Source organism: Homo sapiens, chromosome 12 (genome assembly GCF_000001405.40).
Source record: "Homo sapiens chromosome 12, GRCh38.p14 Primary Assembly".
NCBI classification, from domain to species: Eukaryota; Metazoa; Chordata; class Mammalia; order Primates; family Hominidae; genus Homo; species Homo sapiens.
The window spans coordinates 6,149,619-6,169,715 of record NC_000012.12 but is presented as its reverse complement, the minus strand read 5'-3'; the positions used below and the strand labels follow the sequence as shown (position 1 = coordinate 6,169,715).

General features: G+C 47.4%; 1 long non-coding RNA gene across 2 annotated transcripts, besides 4 other annotated features; it reads left to right on the top strand.

The window, feature by feature from the left end:
* Nucleotides 1-104: 104 nt before the first annotated feature.
* Nucleotides 105-19,964, top strand: LOC124902866 (uncharacterized). Of its 2 annotated transcripts, none has more exons than XR_007063189.1 (2): nt 105-1,568; nt 19,631-19,964. It is a non-coding gene; the product is annotated as an uncharacterized LOC124902866 (long non-coding RNA). The 2 variants fall into 2 exon arrangements; XR_007063190.1 differs by lacking the exon at nt 19,631-19,964 and adding an exon at nt 14,360-16,115 and having other exon boundaries at nt 1,301-1,568.
* Nucleotides 1,599-1,893: an enhancer, noted in NCBI's record as "tiled region #14257; HepG2 Activating DNase unmatched - State 20:ReprD, and K562 Activating DNase unmatched - State 5:Enh". NCBI's record gives its function as "activates a minimal TATA promoter and a strong SV40 promoter by Sharpr-MPRA in HepG2 and K562 cells {active_cell/tissue: HepG2 | K562}" and the evidence as "EXISTENCE:reporter gene assay evidence [ECO:0000049][PMID:27701403]".
* Nucleotides 1,599-1,905: a biological region, named in NCBI's record as "Sharpr-MPRA regulatory region 14257".
* Nucleotides 1,626-1,905: an enhancer, noted in NCBI's record as "active region_5841". NCBI's record gives its function as "activates an Ori minimal core promoter by ATAC-STARR-seq in GM12878 lymphoblastoid cells {active_cell/tissue: GM12878}" and the evidence as "EXISTENCE:reporter gene assay evidence [ECO:0000049][PMID:35858748]".
* Nucleotides 10,126-10,699: an enhancer, noted in NCBI's record as "H3K27ac-H3K4me1 hESC enhancer chr12:6268183-6268756 (GRCh37/hg19 assembly coordinates)". NCBI's record gives its function as "activates a minimal SCP1, AML or CMV promoter by ChIP-STARR-seq in naive H9 embryonic stem cells {active_cell/tissue: H9 hESC(naive)}" and the evidence as "EXISTENCE:reporter gene assay evidence [ECO:0000049][PMID:30033119]".
* Nucleotides 19,965-20,097: the final 133 nt, after the last annotated feature.

Here is a 20,097-nt window from a genome sequence, read left to right as displayed (position 1 = left end):
TTGAGGAGGGAGAATTGCTTGAACCTGGGGGGCGGAGGTTGCAGTCAGCCGAGATTGCACCACTGCCCTCCAGCCTGGGTGACAGTGAGACTCCATCTCAAAAAAAAAAAAAAAAAAAAAAAGAAGAAGAAGAAGAAGAAACTGGCAACTCTGGCAACTCTCCTAAGAGGGAGGAAGAGAGGAGAAAGGACAGGGCAGGGCGGTGACAAGTGTCCTGGAACGGAAAAAGAAAAAAGAAGAAAAAAATTGCACCTGTGTAGGAGGAGATGCTGGTGGCCCTTGGAGTGCCCATGTGAGAGAAGAGCCAGTTCCAGGATTCCAGTGAGAGCAGCCAGCTCAGCGTGGCTCAGCAGCGGGGGACAGCCGTCTAGGAATCCCTGCGGAGCACCCCAGAGAAGGAGCTTCACCTCGGGACCTGGGTCTCATTTTCAGGGACTTCATCTCCCTGAAAAGCAATGCTGCATCAGACACAGAGACGCCCCGACAGAACGGAAAACAATATGCACTGTTCAACATGAAACTCCCATTCATCTCACTGCTGCATGACTTTGCCTAAGAGTTCAGGATAAAGTAATGTTTGCAAATACATCCTGAAATTGCTTTTGTGGGTTAGCATCATTAGATTGCATTATGCTTTGGGATTAAAAGCGTTAACTTTGCCATGTAGCTATTTCAAATAGATCACAAGCTCTTTTTTTTTTTTTTTTGATGATCACCACTATACTAACGAGGATCAAATAGACCACAAGTTCTGCAACCCTGTTTAGATGTTTCTTCATTTCATAAAGTATAGGTACCAAGAATCTCAGTACCTCCTCCTCTCCCCCCAGACTTTCTCTTGTTATTCTGGGATCAAAGGGGCCTCATGTCCCCTCTGAGGGACCTTACCCCTATCAAGCAGGCTGGCAAGCGGGAGAACGGAGGCCTGAGAAGCTGCAACACAGCTACACTGAACTCCCCAGCCAAGCCATGTGCTTGCATCTGCCCGTCTACTCCAGAGTGTGAGCCAAACATCTGAGACTGTGAGAATTCGGAGAGCTGACCCCAGACGTTGGTTCCAGTGTTGGGAGGAACCTGGGAAAATCAAGGGATGCTTTGGTCCTGTCATTGTGACTGACAAGCAATTAGAGGTGAATATCTGTGAATATTTGGGGGTTTAGAATGTACCTGTTGAAATGAAATGCCCCTGGGATATGAAATAACTTTAGCTGTTGGCATCTAAGACAACAGAGGCAGCTGGACGTGGTGACTCACGCCTGTAATCCCAGCACTTTGGGAGGCCGAGGCGGGTGGATCACCTGAGATCACGAGTTTGAGACCAGCCTGACCAACATGGTGAAACCCCATCTCTACTAAATACAAAAAATTAGCCGGGCGTAGTGGCGCATGCCTGTAATTCCAGCTACTTGGGAGGCTGAGGCAGGAGAATTGCTTGAATCCGGGAGGCGGAGGTTACAGTGAGCCAAGATTGCACCATTGCACTCCAGCCTGGGCAACAAGAGTGAAACTCCATCTCCCCCCCCACCCCGCAAAAAAAGACAACAGAGGCGTTCAATCAGTCGGCCGCGGTGAGCAATGTCCCGTGAGAATGGGGCCCAAGACAGAAGTCTAGGAAAGGGTGTATGTGGGCGAGGTAGACACAGATAGGGGCTGTGGACGGAAGGACTCTAGGACCTGCTTGCAGTCTGTCATGAGTCTTTGGACTATTTATAGCTGGTGACCTCAGATGAGTCACCCCCATGATTCAGTTTCCCCATTTCTCTGAGATATGGAGACAGCAGCTGGTCAGGAAGGGACCCTTTCCCTCCTCTCCGCCTCTCCACCGCCACCACTGCCGTCACCGGCACCCATGTTCTGCCCACACAGTAGCCCAGGATGCCAAGGGCTAAAGGCTTGACATAGACGACACCTAATGTAATCTCACAGCCCTGGGACACAGCTCTTGTTATTGCCTCCACTTTGCAGAAGGGAAAAGTGAGCCTTATAGAGGCTGAATAACATGCCTGATGTCTACACTGGGGATGGGTGGATGTGGGCTGGTGTTCGGGCCACCCTGACTCACACTTGGTTGGCCAGGGCTTCCACTGCTAAATCCATCTGGGTCAGGGGCTGGCAACATTTTCTTCATCAGGTAAATATTCTAGGCTTTGTGGGGCATATGATCTCTCTTCCTCTCACCCCAGATTTTCTCCTGTTACTCAACACTTTAAAAATGTAAAAACCATTCTTAGCTAGTGAGCTGCACATAGGAGTCTGCTGGCTGGATTTGGCCTGAAGGCCAGAGTTTAGTCACCTCTGATAACAGGAAAGCAAAAAATGCAAATTGCTGTGGGCTGTCATATCTCCCCAGATTTCAGAGGCGTTCTAAAACTCACTCAAAGAATCCTGGGCCCTGGAGGGTGGCAGGGCTACCTGTGCGGCCCAGGTGGATGTTAGTTTTACTGAGGACCTACTGGGGTGTGGGCACCACGGTGTCTCTCCCATGGCCACTATTCCTACGGGCAGTTACTGCCCCTCACACTTGTCCCTCTGTGTCCTACCCTCTGTGGGGGCTCACTGGGGGCCCAGCTTCTCCACCCTGTCACCATCCTGGCCTCACTTTCCTTTCTCCTGGGACTTCGGTTCTTGGTCAAGTGAGGCTGGACAGGCCCAGCTGTGGCCCCTGGCTGAGCTGCAGAGGAAGCTGAGAGGACCTGCTATCAGCTCCTTTTGGCCAGGCTGCCTCAGTGGCCAGCGTGGGGTGGGAGATGCTGAGGCAGAAATGGGGGAGAAGAGGTGGGAGCTCTGCAGCCGGAGGGAGGAGTTCCGTGGCCTGGGCAGGAAGCTGGGAAACCTCTGTTTCTTTCTTTCTTTGTTTTGTTTTTTTTTTTGAGACGGAGTCTCGCTCTATTGCCCAGGCTGGAGTGCAGTGGCACGATCTCAGCTCACTTCAAGCTCCGCCTCCCGAGTTCATGCCATTCTCCTGCCTCAGCCTCCCAAGTAGCTGGGACTACAGGCACCCGCCACCACGCCTGGCCAATTTTTTGTATTTTTTAGTAGAGACAGGGTTTCACTGTGTTAGCTGGGATGGTCTTGATTTCCTGACCTCGTGATCCACCTGCCTCGGCCTCCCAAAGTGCTGGGATTACAGGCGTGAGCCACCACGCTCGGCCACCTCTCTGTTTCTAAGGCTCCTCAGAGTTAAGGAGGTTTGTGAAAGGAGTAAACACAGGAATTCTGCTTGTGTGTGGGGCCTGCCTGTGCGTGTGTATCACATACAACCCATGCCTGTGTTCCTGTGGAGAGGGAGCATGGAAGGGGCCCGTGTTCTAGGCAATGCACAAAATAGTTAAACCAGGTCTGAAACTGGGATCAAGTCCCAACACCACCACTGACCAACCATGGGAACCAGGTCCAGGTCTTTAACCTCTTGGACACTCACTTTCCTCATCTGTAAAATGGAAATAGCAATATCTCAGCAGATTGCTGTAAAGCTTACAAAGTAACACGATTTATCGAATGCTTCCTACTGGGCAGGCACTATTCTAGGGGCTTTCTATATTCAGTTGATCCTCATCACTCATACATTCTGTATTTAAAGATTTGTCTACTCTGGCCGGGTGTGGTGGCTCATGCCTGTAATCCCAGAACTTTGGGAGGCCGAGGTGGGTGGATCACGAGGTCAGGAGATCAAGACTACCCTGGCTAACATGGTGAAACCCCGTCTCTACTAAAAATACAAAAAAAATTAGCCGGGCGTGTTGGCGGGCGCCTGTAGTCCCAGCTACTCGGGAGGCTGAGGCAGGAGAATGGTGTGAACATGGGAGGTGGAGCTTGCAGTGAGCCGAGATAGCACCGCTGCACTCCAGCCTGGGCAACTGAGCAAGACTCCATCTCAAAAAAATAAAAATAAAAAAATAAAAATTTGTCTACTCCATACAATTTACTTGTATTGCCAAAATCAATACTCACAGTGCTTGCATGGCCATCCATGAACACAGAGCAGAGAAAAATTTGGCAGGATGTGCACATTCCCAGCAGAGGGTGAACAAGGTGACAGTCTGCCTTCTTGTTTCAGCTCATACCACAAGCAAGTGTCCTTTTCAAGGTCTACTTGGTACCATGTGTTTTGCATTTTTCTGCTGCGTGTTGGTGATTCCACTGTTTAAAATGGTCCCAGCATCATGCTGAAGTGCTGTCCAGAGTTCCTAAGTGAGAGAAAGCTGTGATGTGTCATGTGGAGAAAATATGTCTAGTAGTTAAGCTTCGTGCAGGCATGAGTTATAGTGCTGTTGGCTATGAGTTCAATGTGAATTATTCAGCAATATATATTGAATAAGGTGTCGTTAGACAGAAACACACATAAGAAAAAGTTATGCATTGATTTGTTGATGAAAATGTGACCAGAGGCTCACAGGAACCTCCCCTTGTATCTCCCCTAGGAGCACTGGTTTGGCATTCACTAATTCAGTGTTTGCAGTGACTCCATAAAACACAGCCACTATGAATAATGAGAATTGACTGTATTGGCCAGGCACAGTAGCTCACACCTGTAATCCCAGCACTTTGGGAGGCCAAGGTAAGCAGATCACTTGAGGTCAGGAGTTTCAGACCAGCCTGGCCAACATGGTGAAACCCTGTCTCTACTAAAAATACAAAAAATTAGCTGGGTGTGGTGGTGGGCACCTGTAATCCCAGCTACTCGGGAGGTCGCAGTGAGCCGAGATTGCACCACTGCCCTCCAGCCTGGGCAACAAGAGCAAAAGTCCGTCTCCAAAAAAAAAAAAAAAAAAAAAAGAAGAAGAAGAAGAAGAAGAAAAGAAGACAAGAATTTACTGTATTAACTCATCTTTTGAAAATTTTATTTACTTATTTTTATTTTTTATTGTTTTGAGACAGAGTCTCGCTCTGTTGCTAGGCTGGAGTGCAGTGGTGCGATCTGGGCTTACTGCAACCTCTGCCTCCCGGGTTCAAGCGATTCTCCTGCCTCAGCCTTCTGAGTAGCTGGGACTACAGGCGCCTGCCACCACACTTGGCTCATTTTTTGTATTTTTAGTAGAGACGGGGTTTCACCATGTTGGCCAGGATGGTCTCGAACTCCAGACCTCGTGATCCACCCGCCTCGGCCTCTCAAAGTGCTGGGATTACAGGCGTGAGCCCATGCCCGGCCTATTTATTTACTTTGAGACAGAGTCTCACTATGTCACCCACGCTTGAGTGCAGTGGCACGATCTCAGCTCTTTGCAACCTCCGTCTCTCAGGTTCAAGCGATTCTCCTGCCTCAGCCTCCAGAGTAGCTGGGCCTACAGGCGCATGCCACCATGCCCGGCTAATTTTTTATATTTTAGTAGAGACAGGGTTTCACTGTGTTAGCCAGGATGGTCTTGATCTCCTGACCTCGTGATCTGCCCGCCTCAGCCTCCCAAAGAAAATTTTATTTTTAATTAATTAATTATTATTATTATTTTGGGTGGAAACAGAGTCTTGATATGTTGCACAGGCTGATCTCGAACTGGACTCAAGCAGTCCTCCCGTCTCGGCCTACCAAAGTGCTGGGATTACAGGCATGAGCCACCATACCCGGCCGTATTAACTCATCTATTCACCACAACCACCATACTGGGTGGGTGCTCCGCTGTCATTATTGTCTAGATTTTACTGAGGCACTGAGGCACAGAGAAGCTGCCTAATTTGTCTGAGGCCATATGGATGGCAGAGCTGGGATCAACGCCAGGCAGTGGGGCCTCGAGGGTCCCCTAGCTACTCCTGAATTAGACAGGGCAACACGCAGAAAGCCTGAGGGCAGCCCCCTCTGTGTCATGCACATTCATCAAGGCTCTGCCACTCGGGGGCCCCATGGCCGTGGGATTAGACAGTCTCTGAAGTTCCTTCCACTTGGATATTCTAAGGCCCTGCAATTTCTGCCCGCTCTCCCAAGCTGCTGTGCACTTAGGAGTGGGCTGCAGCCTACTCCTACTCCTCCTACTCCAGGAGTGGTCTGCAGGCCTGCAGTGGGGAGCTGCAGCTACAGGACTGGAAATTGGGATGGATGAGCTGTGGGTATGGCAGGGAGGCTGTTGAGGTGGATGATGCCAAGGGCTCAGGAGGACCTTTGATGTCACCTCTTTTGGTTGTGCTGGTGTGCTTCGAGCTGGGGGTGGCTGGGAGGGGAAGGTTTGCTTCTTCTTTTTTGTACATGTGGAACTGAAGCTCAGAGAGCTTTCTCAACACAACAGGACACTATGGGACCCACCAGGAACAGATTCACCAGGGATGATATTAAAAATATTAAACAGGCCGGGCACAGTGGCTCATGCCTGTAATCTCAGCACTTTGGGAGGCTGAAGCGGGAGGATCACGAGGGCAGGAGATTGAGACCATCCTGGCTAACACGGTGAAACCCCGTCTCTACTAAAAATATAAAAAATTAGCTGGGCATGGCGGTGGGCGCCTGTAGTCCCAGCTACTCAGGAGGCTGAGGCAGGAGAATGGCGTGAACCTGGGAGGCGGAGTTTGCAGGAAGCTGAGATAGCACCACTGCACTCCAGCCCGGGCGACAGAGGGAGACTCTGTCTCAAAAAAAAAAAAAAAAAATTAAACATTGGTGTGGCACAGACACAAGCTGATCATCACAGATGCAGTTTTGGACATGGAGGCTGTCTGTACGGGGGGATGTTGGCTGAGTCAGGCCTGGTCCCAGGCCTGGTCCTGGCTGCTCTGCCCTGTGCCTTTCCCTCCATATCACGCTGATTTGCAGGGTTGGAGCAGATTTTTCTGTGTCTGTGAGAGTGATGGGATTGTGCTCTATCAAGTCACACCTATCTTTAGCTGCTGTCTTTCCTGAAAGCTTCTGGTGGTGGTGGTATAAGTGGTAGAAATCCACTCACCCTCACATTCACAATAACCCCATTACTCCCTGCTAGTGAGGGGTGAGAGCAAATATTCTGGAGAGAAGGTCTGAGTTCAAATCCCAGCATTCATCAGCCTGTGGCCCTGTGCTAATCGCCTCACCTTGCTAAACCCTGCTTTTCTTATGGGTAAAATTGAATTAAACTACCTACCTCATGGCATATTGTGAAGACCAAGTACAATTATGTGGGTGACAATGCTTTATATGCTGGAAAAGTCTGTGCGTAAAATGAAGGGGATTAACCCATTTATGCCGGATGTTGCAATTTTTTTGAATTGCAGACGTGTGAAAAATCAGACCTTGGCAATGACATAGAGCAGTGGGATATAAATAACTCCCGCATGCTTAGCGTTCCAATAATGGAACACTAGGCATAAAATTAAGCTGGGCTCCATCCTGAGAGGCTCACACAGGGAGTAGGAACCTAACACTAAGGTCAAATGCAACTGCGTTGGACATCCCTGTGCCAGAGCAGCTAGCAGTCTCCCTAATTTTTTTTTTTTTCTGGACAGGTTCTCACTCTGTCATTCAGGCTGCAATGCAGTAGTGTGATCTCGGCTCACTGTAGCCTTGACCTTCCAGGCTCAAAGTGATCCTCTCACCTCAGCCTCTCTAGTAGCTGGGACTATGGGCACATGCTACCACACCCAGCTATTTATTTTTTATTTTTTGTAGTGACGGGGTCTTACTATGTTGCCCAGGCTGGTTTTGAGATCCTGGACTCCAGTGATCCTCTCTCCTTAGCTTCCCAAACTGCTGGGATTACAGGTGTTAGCCACCATGACTGGCCCCAAATTCGCCTTTCCTTCTACCATAGTCATTGATTTAGTTGAAGACATGACTCCCCAGAATAAAATCTCTATTTCCCAGGCTCCTTTACACCCAGGGTAGCCACAGGGACAAGTTCTGGCCAATAGGATGTGAGTAGAAGGGGCGGAGGCAACCTCTGGGCATGTCCTTAAGCGGCAGGGGCCTCCCTCCTTCATTCCCCGGACCCGCAGCTCCATCCCCGCACGCCCCTGACCCAGCTTCCTCCTTCTGGCCGTCCAGAGGGCAGATGTGGTGATGGGCTGTCTGAGCCCATGAGATGAGGCCAGCCTCCCAGGGTGGAACAGCTGGGGCTGGCTCTCTGCCCTGTGGAGCTGCTGAGCAGCCCTGGACTACTTACGTTCAGAGAATTCCATGAGGGAGAAATGCATCCTAGCTCATTTCCTCCCGGGTGTTTGGGGCTGTTGCAGCAGTCAAGTTCATAGCCTGACCATGTGATAGTGAATCCCACAGTGACCTATGTTACTTCTCAACCAGCAGGTTACTAACGTGCTGCTTTTGTTCAAGGATGGGAGTTGAAGCTGGGAAGTGTGGAGGGGAGGTGGGTGCAAGAATTCCCTTGAGAAGGGTCAGGAAGTCATCACTCGTCAGATTAGTCCCACAGACTTCGTGGGGGAGGCAGGACTTTAGGAATGTTCACAGTGTAGATATTCCTTCTTCCCCTACCGGTTCCCCCATGTCGTCTTTTTGTCCTTGCTCCCCTCCTCTCTCCCTGATCATCGTCCTGGCCCGGCACCCACTCCACATTCCTGAGGATATGGTGAGGAAGAACGAGACCCATTTTTGCCTTGCAGGCTGGTTATGATACAGACTCAGGCCTCTCAGGTCCAAAACCTGGGCCATCCTCCACCCTTCTCTCTCTCCCACCCCATGTAGACTTCGTCAGCAGATCCTGCCAGAGCTATTTCAAAATATGACCGGATCACCCCTTTCCATCCCTCCTCTCCTGCTCTAAGCCCCCATCATCTTTGGCCTAAACTTTGCTTTAGCCCCCTAATGACTCTCCATGCTTCCACCCTCATCCCCACCCCCGCTAACGCAGTCTGTTCCCAACAGAGCACCCAGAACGATTTCCTTAGAACGTAAATCAGACCATGTCACTTTTCTGCGCAATTTTCCAGTGGTCCCCATCTCTCTCAGAGGACACTCCAAATTCTTTTCGTGGCCCCCAGGGCCCTAACTGATGCTCCCACCTTGCCCCTCAGCATTTCACTTGGGTGTGCCTAGAGCACAGCAGGCGTGTTCCTGCCTCACGGTGCTGGCGTGCAGCCCTCTTTGTCTAGATTCTCCATGGCTTGTCTGTCACACTGTGTCTGGAATTGGTGGGTTCTTGGTCTCACTGACTAAGAATGAAGCCGCGGACCCTCGCGGTGAGTGCTACAGTTCTTAAAGGCGGCGTGTCTGGAGTTTGTTCCTTCTGATGTTAAGATGTGTTCGGAGTTTCTTCCTTCTGGTGGGTTCGTGGTCTCACTGGCTCAGGACTGAAGCTACAGACCTTCGTGGTGAGTGTTACAAGCTCTTAAAGCGGCGTGTCTGGAGTTGTTCATTCCTCCTGGTGGGCTCATGGTCTCTGTGGGCTTAGGAGGGAAGCTGCAGATCTTCGCAGTGAGCGTTACAGCTCATAAAAGCAGCGTGCACCCAAAGAGAGAAAGAACAAAACTTCCACATTGGGGAAGCCAACTCCAGCGGGTTGCCACTGCTGGCTCGGGCAGCCTGCTTTTATTCTCTTATCTGCCCCCACCCACATCCTGCTGATTGGTAGAGCCGAGTGGCCTGTTTTGACGGGGTGCTGATTGGTGCGTTTACAATCCCTGAGCTAGACCCAAAGGTTCTCCTCCTCCCCACCAGATTAGCTAGATACAGAGTGTCCACACAAGGTTCTCCAAGGCCCCACCAGAGCAGCTAGATACAGAGTGTCCATTGGTGCATTCACAAACCCTGAGCTAGACACAGGGTGCTGATTGGTGTGTTTACAAACCTTGAGCTAGATACAGAGTGCCGATTGGTGTATTTACAATCCTGAGCTAGACATAAAGGTTCTCCAAGGTCCCACCAGAGTCAGGAGCCCAGCTGGTTTCACCCAGTGGATCCCGCACCTGGGCTGCAGGTGGAGCTGCCTGCCAGTCCCGCGCTGTGTGCCCGCACTCCTCAGCCCTTGGGTGGTCGATGGGACTAGGTGCCAGTGGAGCAGCGGGCGGTGCTCGTCGGGGAGGGTCCGGCCGCACAGGAGCCCACGGAAGAGGGGGGTCTCAGGCATGGCGGGCTGCAGGTCCTGAGCCCTGCCCCGCGGGGAGGCAGCTAAGACCCGGCGAGAAATCGAGCGCAGCGCCGGTGGGCCGGCACTGCTTAGGGACCCAGTACACCCTCCGCAGCTGCAGGCCCAGGTGTAAGCCCCTCGTTGCCCGGGGCCGGCAGGGCTGGCCGGCTGCTCCGAGTGCAGGGCCCGCCAAGCCCACGCCCACCCTGAACTCCAGCTGGCCCGCAAGCTCTGCGCGCAGCCCCGGTTCCCGCTCGCGCCACTCCCTCCACACCTCCCTGCAAGCTGAAGGAGCCGGCTCCGGCCTTCGCCGGCCCAGAAAGGGGCTCCCACAGTGCAGCGGTGGGCTGAAGGCCTCAAGTGCCGCCAAAGTGGGAGCCCAGGCAGAGGAGGCGCCGAGAGCGAGCAAGGGCTGTGAGGACTGCCAGCACGCTGTCACCTCTCAATATCAGGTCTCTTCTCAAGTGGCACCTGTCGCAGAGGCCCTCCGGGGCTATTCTGCATAAATACCACCCACTCTTGTCACTTGCTGTCCCCCTTACATTACTTTATTCTCTTGCTAGCCCTTATCACCATCTGATTTATATTTGCTTTCTTGTTTTTTGGCTTTTTCCCTCCATTAAGTGTAAGCTCTTTGTGTGTCTTGTCTGGCAATCTGTACCTCCACTTTCGACAGCAATGCCAGCAAGCACACAGCCGGGGCTCAGTAGACGCTTATAGGACGCTGAGTGGCGTGTGCTGGATGTGCTGCTGTGCAGAGCCCAGAAGCCAAGCTGCCCCTGCATGGCGTTCAGAGGAGGGATGGCTGGACCTGATACTCGGAGAGTGACGGGGAGGGAGTGCTTGGCCTGGGTCTGCTCAGATGGCCGCCGGGCCAGCCAGGCCATTGCTCTGACCTCAGTTCTGGAGAGTTCGGATTGGTGGCAAGGGAAAGGGCAGGAGCTGAGGAATGGATGGTTCCATTAATCATGGAACTTTGCCCAGAGGGGTCAGAGGAGTAAGGCAGGGGATAGAGGGAGAGATAGCATTAGACAGAAGGTTCTGGTGGCAGGGGAGGGGCTGGGGGGGAGAAAAGGGATCGGGGTGTGGGTTCTGGCTCAGCCTTTTCCAGACTTTGTGGCTGCTGCTGCAGTCCCAGAGTCTACTGGGGCCCCGCTGTCTGCTTCCTGGCCTGGCTGTTTGTTTATTTGGCCAGTAGTTTGGGCAGCCGTGGGCCTCTCTTGCTGACCTCCAGGGGAGGAGTTAAGTACATACTGCCTCTCAGGTGCAGCAACTAAAACCGTACAGGAAATGTTGAGGTGCCAGTCAGCAAGAGGGCCAGTCCTGGGCTTCCCCTGCCAGGGCCCCCTAGGAGCAGATACCCACCCCCACTCTTTCTCATCCCCAGCTCCTGTGGGAGTGAAGTGGGCTTCCTGTGCTTTCCAACGGAAACTTTACTTGGTTCTCTTCACAGCCAGCATTGATTCATTCTCTTAGTTGGCAAATACTTGTTAAGTACTCCATGCTACCAACGAGCTAGGAATACAGACAATCTTGGTGTAGAAAAATTCATCTTTAATGTTCATAGCCTTCCTGGTCAGCACCCATTCCTCCTCTCACTCATAGAACCTTTCCCCACATTGGGGAGAGGCTGGTTAATGGATACAAAGTTACAGCTGGCTAAGCTGAGGGGAATAAGCATTAGTGTCCTGTACCACTGTAGGGTGAAAGTAGTTAACAATAGTTTCAAGTATAGTTTCAAAAAGCTGCAAGGTAGGATTTTAAGTGTTCCCAGCACAAAGAAGTGATCGGTGTTCAAGATGTTAGATATGCTAATTACCCTGATTTGATCAATATACATCATATGCATGTATCAGAATACCACTTTGAATCCCATAAAAAATGGACAATTATCGTCAACAAAAAATAAAAGGGAAAAAACACCAAATATCTTTCCCCACATCAATTTCGTGTCCTAGGCTGGTGCTGTGTGCCTGGGAGCAGTGGTGTGTTGATCAATGTTTAACAAGTGACTCTTTGGAAGAAAAGCCATGATCTGTAGTGTCTGCCAATTTCTGTGGTGTAACTATTTCCAGCGTGTCAGATTCCATGCCACCCATGTGATGTTACTCAATGGAAAACTGGGAAGACTTCACAGTAACACACCATTATGTGTCATTTCCATCACACAGATACAGACATTGGTATGTATAACCTCAAGGGTATAGATAATAGTAAAATATAAAATAATTAGGAAGTATGAGTTTTGAGTCGTTATCTCTGTCTTAAATGTAACTTGTTTTACGATGATTATATATACTTTAGTATTTAATAATGAATGTATTTAACAACAGAGCCACAAAATTCCTGAAAATGTAAAAACTGGCTCTGCAAGCCAGGATCACTGCCTGTGAGCTTGTTGGAAATGCAGATTCTTAGGCCCCACCAGCTCTACTGAATCAGGATCTGAATTTTAACATTTTTAACAATACCCTCAGGTAATCCATATACATTATACATTTAAAAAGCATGCCCTAGGGGAAATAACTGTTTATTATTTCATTGATATCTTTTCAGAACTTTTCCACAACACAGATGTGTGTATTTTTAAAAATTTTGTTTTTAACAAAAATAAGATCACGCTGTAAATGTTTTGCAAGGTTTTGTTTTGTTTTCAACTTAGTAACATGTCTGATATCCTTCCATGTCAGTCTGTAGAGATCGCGTTATTTTTAATGTCTCTGTAGTATTTTAGGACATGAGTAAATCATGATAAAAAAAAATCATCTCTTGCTGGGCACAGTAGCTCATGCTTGTAATCCCAGCACTTTGGGAGGTTGAGATGGGTGGATCAATTGAGACAAGGAGTTTGAGACCAGCCTGTGTGACATATCAAAACCCTGTCTCTACAAAAAATACAAAAAAATAGTTGGGTGAGGTGGCTTGTGCCTGTAGTCGCAGCTGCTTGGGAGGCTTAGGGGGGAGGATCGCTTGAGTCTGAGGAGGTCTAGGCTGCCGTGAACCGTGATACTGCCACTACACTCCAGCCTGGGTGACAGTGAGACCCTGTCTCCTCCCCGCTCAAAAAACCTTCTCTGAACAAACACATATTGTTTTCCCCTTTTGCTTCAAGAAACTTTATAATTAAAAAGAAAGTTTCCTTGAACTGTCTTTGAATTTCCTTAACAAAATATACCTCAAAAAAACTTCTGAAAGCTAATTTATACCAAAGGGTTAGTGGCTGGCAATAATAGTTTTACAGCGTTTTCCTTCTTCCCCAGATTTAAACAGTTTACATTTTATCAATATTGAGATATTTTATGCATAATATTCTGAATAAGCTGCTAGGGAATAAAAAGAAGTTAGACGGGCTGGGCGTGGTGGCTCAGGCTTGTAATCTCAGCACTTCCGGAGGCTGAGGCGGGTGGATCACCTGAGGTCAGGAGTTCAAGACCAGCCTTGCCAACATGGCGAAACTCTAGTCTCTACTAAAAATGCAAAAAAATTAGCCAGGCGTGGTGGTGGGCGCCTGTAATCCCAGCTACTCGGGATGCTGAGGCAGGAGAATCGCTTGAACCCGGGAGGCGGAGGTTGCAGTGAGCCGAGATCGAGCCACTGCACTGCAGCTGGGTGATGAGCGAAACTCCGTCTCAAAAAAAAAAAAAAAAAAAGAAGTTAGACATGGGCCTGACTTTCACACGCTGACAGCCCTCCAAAGGGAATGCAATAATCATGAAATGAGGCAAATAATCATAAAATGAGGCACGACATATAGATACAGAACTGTTCCCAGCATCTGTAGTGCCATAAGAACATCGGAGAAGGGAGGGTAGAAAAACCTAAACTAGACACTGGGTGCTACCGATGACATTAGAGAAATTGATGGATAAGTGGGAAGGTGTCTGTCCTGTCCTCAAACCGCAGCAGGCAGCCTTAGGCTAAGGGCTGGTGGATGTAGGATAGGATAAAAAGAGAGCCCCAAGGGCAGTATTTCTACAGGGTGAACCTGGTACCCTTTTCTTCACAACCACCCTAAAGGGAAATTTTTCCCCCCACCCTTTTTTTTTTTTTTTTTTTGAGACGGAATCTCGCTCTTGTCACCAGGCTGGAGTGCAGTGGTGCGATCTAGGTTCACTGCAACCTCCGCCTCCCAGGTTCAAGCGATTCTCCTGCCTCAGCCTCCCGAGTAGCTGGCATTACAGGCGTGCGCCCACCACGCCCAGCTAATTTTTGTATTTTTAGTAGAGACGGAGTTTCACCAGGTTGGCCAGGATGGTCTCGATCTCTTGACCTAGTGATCCGCCCGCCTCAGCCTCCCAAAGTGTGGGAATTACAGGCATGAGCCACAGCACCCGGCCCCCACCCTTTTTTTCTCTAGCCCTAACATCTGGTTCCTTAATCTTCAGGAACCCTGATCCGCAAAGATGATAGCAGTTCTGCTTGGTTCCTGTCTGAGCCTGGATCTGGATCTGGGAGGTGCTGGCGGGGTCCTGTTCTTCCGCTCTGGTGGGAATCTGATTGTGATCAGCATTGGGCCGCATGCCAGAGACGGCTGCAGTCCTGTGCCTGGCCTGGCCGGCCTCGGTGCTACCCGCCACCCCTCACGTCTTCCCTTCTGGCTCCTTGTACGTCACTGGTCAGTCCGCGAACCCTGACTCTCCATCAGTGAGCTGTGTGGCACTGGGCAAGCCTCTGCCCTTCTCTACTTCCCAGGGTACAGAGTGAGCTTCCACCTTTTGGCTTGATTCTCCTTCACATCTTGCCCACCCAGGCTTCTGACCGAATCTAGCAGCTCAAGTCAAATTCAGCTGGAAATTGGCTGCTGAAGAAGCTGTCTTTCACCCTCTATAACTGAGGACTTACTGTTCCTAACTGTTGCTAAGTGGGGGCTGTTTTCTTTGAGGGAGTTTTTTCTTCTTTAGCAATTTTATATATAAAATAACAAATGCAAAGTATGTATTATGAGACATGCTAACAAAATGAACATCTGTGAACCCACTACCCCATCTAAGAATTAGAACATTATCAACAGGGTTGTATGTGCCTATGTGTTCTTTCCTGTTCTGTATGCCTGTCTCCCTTGAAGAGATAGCTATTACCCTGAGTTTTGGTGTTTGTTATTTCCTTGCTTTAAAAAAGTAGCTTCATCGGCCGGGCGTGATCCCAGCGCTTTGGGAGGCTGAGGCGGGTGGATCACCTGAGGTCAGGAGTTTGAGACCAGCCTGACCAACATGGTGAAACCCCATCTCTACTAAAAATACAAAATTAGCTGGGTGTGGTGGCATGCGCCTGTAATCCCAGCTACTGAGGAGGCTGAGGCAGGAGAATCACCTGAACCCGGGAGGCGGAGTTTGCAGTGAGCCAAGATCACGCCATTGTATTCTAGCCTGGGCGACAAGAGTGAAACTCTGTCTCAAAAAAAAAAAAAAAAAAAAGCTTCATCACATATGTTTGTATCTACAAACTTTACTTGTTTACTTTTGCTTGTTTTTGAGCTTTGTAAAAATGGTGTCATATTGTATATAGTTTTTTTTTGGTTGTGATAAACGGTAATGCTGTGAGTATTCTTGCATAAATCTCTGTATGCAGCAGTTCCCATGCACCAGCGTTTCTTCTAGAGAAGTGCAATCGATGAATTCTAGGGCATGTAAATGCTCAAGTTCACAGATTGTTTTGCCAATTTCCAATCCCACCAGCAGTATATGTAAGAGTATATGCTAGAATAATCATCGTTTATTGAACAGCCCAACTTTTTCCAATTGACCTACAATTGATCTCTGTTATCTAAAAAATTTCTATATATCTGTGGGTCTGCTTTTTGGCTTTTAACCTAATTCATTGATCAAGTTGTCTAAACCTGCACTAATATTATTCAGTCTAAAATGCTATGGATTTATAAGAAGTCCTGATGTTGGGTAAGTCCTGCCATCTCACTGTTTTCCTTGAAGAGTAAATTGACTATTTCTGGCCCATTGCATTTTGGCCTGTTGCATATATCAGAATCAACTTGTAATTTTGATTGGCATTGTATTGAGTCTATATCTCAGTTTGGACAGTGCTGACATTGTTGTGATATTGAGTCTAAATATCCATGGTATAACTCTCATATTAGTTAGGTTTTAATTAATGCCTTCTAATAAATATTGTATTTTTTCTTATGTATCCTGAGCATCTTTTTTTTTAGATCTGTTATTATGTAACTTATAGTTTTGTTGTGTGTTACATGAGTTTTTTTTACAATTTTTTACAATTATATTTCTGTTGCTGGTATATAGAAATGTAGTGGATTTTCAAATATTCATCTTATATCTGATGTTGCCAAAATGTCTACTGATTTCCAATATTTTATGTGTAGATTCTTTTGGGACAATGATATTGTATGTCATTAATGAGAGTTGTTTAGTTCTGGTCTTTTTTTTTTTTTTGAGACGGAGTCTCTGGAGTGCAGTGGTGTGATCTCGGCTCACTGCAAGCTCTGCCTCCTGGGTTCACAGCATTCTCCTGCCTCAGCCTCCTGAGTAGCTGGGGCTACAGGCGCCTGCCACCACGCCCAGCTAATTTTTTTTGTATTTTTAGTAGAGACAGGGTTTCACCGTGTTAGCCAGGATGGTCTTGATCTCCTGCCCTCATGATCCGCCCGCCTCAGCCTCCCAAAGTGCTGGGATTATAGGCATGAGCCACCGCGCCCGGCCCTAGTTCTGATCTTTATGATTTTCATTTATTTTTCTTCTCTTGTTTCATTGCCCAGAATTTCCAATGTAGCTTGAATGGAAGTGGCAAGAGTTGGCATCTTTGTCTTTTTTTTTATTTTTAAGGGAACTGATCTTCTATTTCTTACATTTCCTTATTAGAATGATGAGTCACACGTTTTGTTAATTAGGTTAATTTTTTTTTTTAATTCCTAGTTTACTAAGAGTTTTTATGATGAATAAGTAAATCTGGCAAATGCTTTTTCTGCAGCTATGGAGATGCCTATATTTTTACCCCTTAATTTGTTAATGTAGTATATGATTATGATACAATTTTAAATGTGAAAACCACCCTAAATTTCTGGAATAAATAAAACTTGGTCATAACGCACTCTCTTTTTTAATAAAACGGTTGGATTCACTTGCGAGTATTTTGTTTAGGACTTTTGCACCTATGTTCATGAGTAAGTTTTGCCAGGGATTTTCTTTTTCTTATACTGCTCATGTCTGGTTTTGGAGTCAAAATTGTATTGGAGACATCATCTGAATTAAAGCTAATTTTCTTTGTGGCAGAGTCCACTGATGGTTCTCTAATGGTTATTCTGGCCTTCTAACTTTTAACAACAAAACCCCAGTTTTTAGCTGGATACAAAACTGAAGATTATATTTCCCAGCCTCCCTCATAGGTAGATATGGCCATGTGATTAAGTTTTGACCAGTATCCCTTCATCAGCACCATCGTCAGTCAATTCTTTGTAGTTTTGAGTCCTGAGATTTACGATTCCAGCTTTGAGAAATAGGTCTTTGAGGGCATTTGTTTCTAATAGTGATTAATTTCATTAAAACTAAAAACATAGGCAGGGCGGGGTGGCTCACGCCTGTAATCCCAGCACTTTGGATTGCTGAGGAGGGCAGATCACGAGGTCAGGAGTTCGAGACCAGCATGGCCAACATGGTGAAACCCCATCTTTACTAAAGAAAAAAAATTAGCTGGACATGGTGGCGGGCACCTGTAATCCCAGCTACTTGGGAGGCTGAGGCAGGAGAATTCCTTGAACCTGGGAGGTGGAGATTGTAGTGAGCTGAGATTGCACCATATCGCTCCAGCCTGGGCCACGGGACGAGACTCCATCTCAAACAAACAAACAAAACTAAAAACATGATCTAGTAACTAGATTTCTTGATTTTTTAATACATCAGGGTAAAACAGAAATACCTTCATTGCTTCTTGACCTATATTTGAAGCTTCTGTAGATACCTTCACATAGTAGGAAGTCTAGCAGTTCTCAAGGCCCTACACCAGCCATTATATGCATGAAAGAAGATCAACTGTGAAAAATTTTTGGCTTTTAAAAATGTATTTACCAGGCGTGGTGGCTCACGTCTGTAATCCCAGCACTTTAGGAGGCTGAGGTGGGTGGATCATGAGGTCAGGATATCAAGATCATCCTGGCTAACACGGTGAAACCCCATCTCTACTAAAAATACAAAAAATTAGCCGGGCGTGGTGGCGAGCGCCTGTAGTCCCAGCTACTCGGGAGGCTGAGGCAGGAGAATGGTGTGAACCCGGGAGGCGGAGCTTGCAGTGAGCCAAGATCACGCCACTGCACTCCAGCCTGGGCGACAGAGCGAAACTCCGTCTCAAAAAAAAAATGTTTTTAAAGGTTTCTTCAATTATCAGAAAGTTTGCACCTATGTATTAGTTCATAATAGGAACTAATATGACTTTCATATTAAACTGATAATATTCTGCATTTTATATGCATTATAGCAGAATAGACTGAATTTTACATTTTTCATGATGATTTCTTCTTTGACCATGAATTGGAAATATATTTAGAAGTTTCTAGCCATATGGGAATAAAACATAATTATATTTTGTTATTTGCTTCTAATTAAATGTATTATGCAGGGAAACACATTGATACTGATTCTTTGAAATCTGTTGAGAATTGCTTTGTGGTTTAGTACTTAGGCAGTTTTTTTTTGTTTATTTTTGTTTTGTTTTGTTTTGTTTTAGACAGTCTCACTCTGTCGCCCAGGATGGAGTGCAGTGGCGTGATCTCGGCTCACTGCAAGCTCCACCTCCTGGGTTCATGCCATTCTCCTGCCTCAGCCTTCTGAGTAGCTGGGACTACAGTCGCCTGTCACCATGCCCGGCTAATTTTTTTGTATTTTTAGTAGAGACGGGGTTTCACCGCGTTAGCCAGGATGGTCTCGATCTCCTGACCTCGTGATCCACCTGCCTTGGCCTCCCAAAGTGCTGGGATTAGAGGCGTGAGCCACCGCGCCCGGCCTGGTCAGTTTTTATATATGTTCCAAATGTGTCATCCCTAATTGCTGGGTAGAGAATTCTATCTATGCCCAATAAATCAAGCTGATTAATTGTATTGTGCAAATTTTCTGTCTTTTCTAATTTTTTGTCTCTTTGATCTAACAGTAACGGAGAGAGGTGTGTTGACATCTCCCACTATGATGGCAAATATGGCAACTTCTCCCTGGGTTCTTTTAATTTTTATAATTTATATATTTTAAACCTATTTTATTAAGCTTATTTTTTAGTTTTATAATCATATCTTCTTATTTTACTAGGTTTATAATAATCTTAGTAGATTGTATTTTTTGTCATTATTTAATGTCATTCTCTAGCCATAATAATGCTTTATTTCCCCAAAGTCTATTTTGTCCCATATTACTAACAACTACTCCAGCTTTGCTTCAAACACTTTCATGTCCTTATATTTTAGGTATGTCGTTTATAAACGTCATGGAATTATGTGGTATCCACCTTTCAAGATAGCCCTCCAGTGAATCTTATTTCACCAGTCCCACCCTTGTGTAGTCTGATGTTGAGTAGGGCTGACTTGTATAACCAATAGGATATTGTGGAAATAAGACTCCTGAGGCCAGATCATAAAAAAACCTTGTATCTTTCATTTTTCTCTCTCTTGGACTCTTGCTCTGGGAAAATCTGGTCACCCAGTGCAGCAGGGAATCCAGGCCTCCTGCCAGCTACAGCACCAGCTGGGCAGCACCGTGCATGAGCCGTCTTGGAAGTGGATCTTCCAGTCCCAGTCGTGCTGGCGCCTTTGGCTGACTGGGCCTTAGCCAACCTCTGCGGGATCCTGAAGCCGAACCACTGAGGAAGCCAACCAATTGCAGAGGAATATTCTTCAGCTTCTACAAAGAATCCGGCCTCTTATTTTTCTTGAAACTTACAGCTGTCTTGGTGTGTCTTATTTTTTTCCCCTCTTGATAGAGAAGTGCTACAAAGAAATGTTTTTGTACTTCAATAAAAAGACGAAGTAAGTAAAAAGATAAATGACAACTGGTTTGGACCTCATGTTGGAGATGTGATAGGGTGTAGAAGGGACTGGAAACTGGAGAGAACATGCCCATCCCAAGAGAGAAGACCCGCCTTTCCAACAACTTCCAGTCTTCCAAGTGAAGCTGGA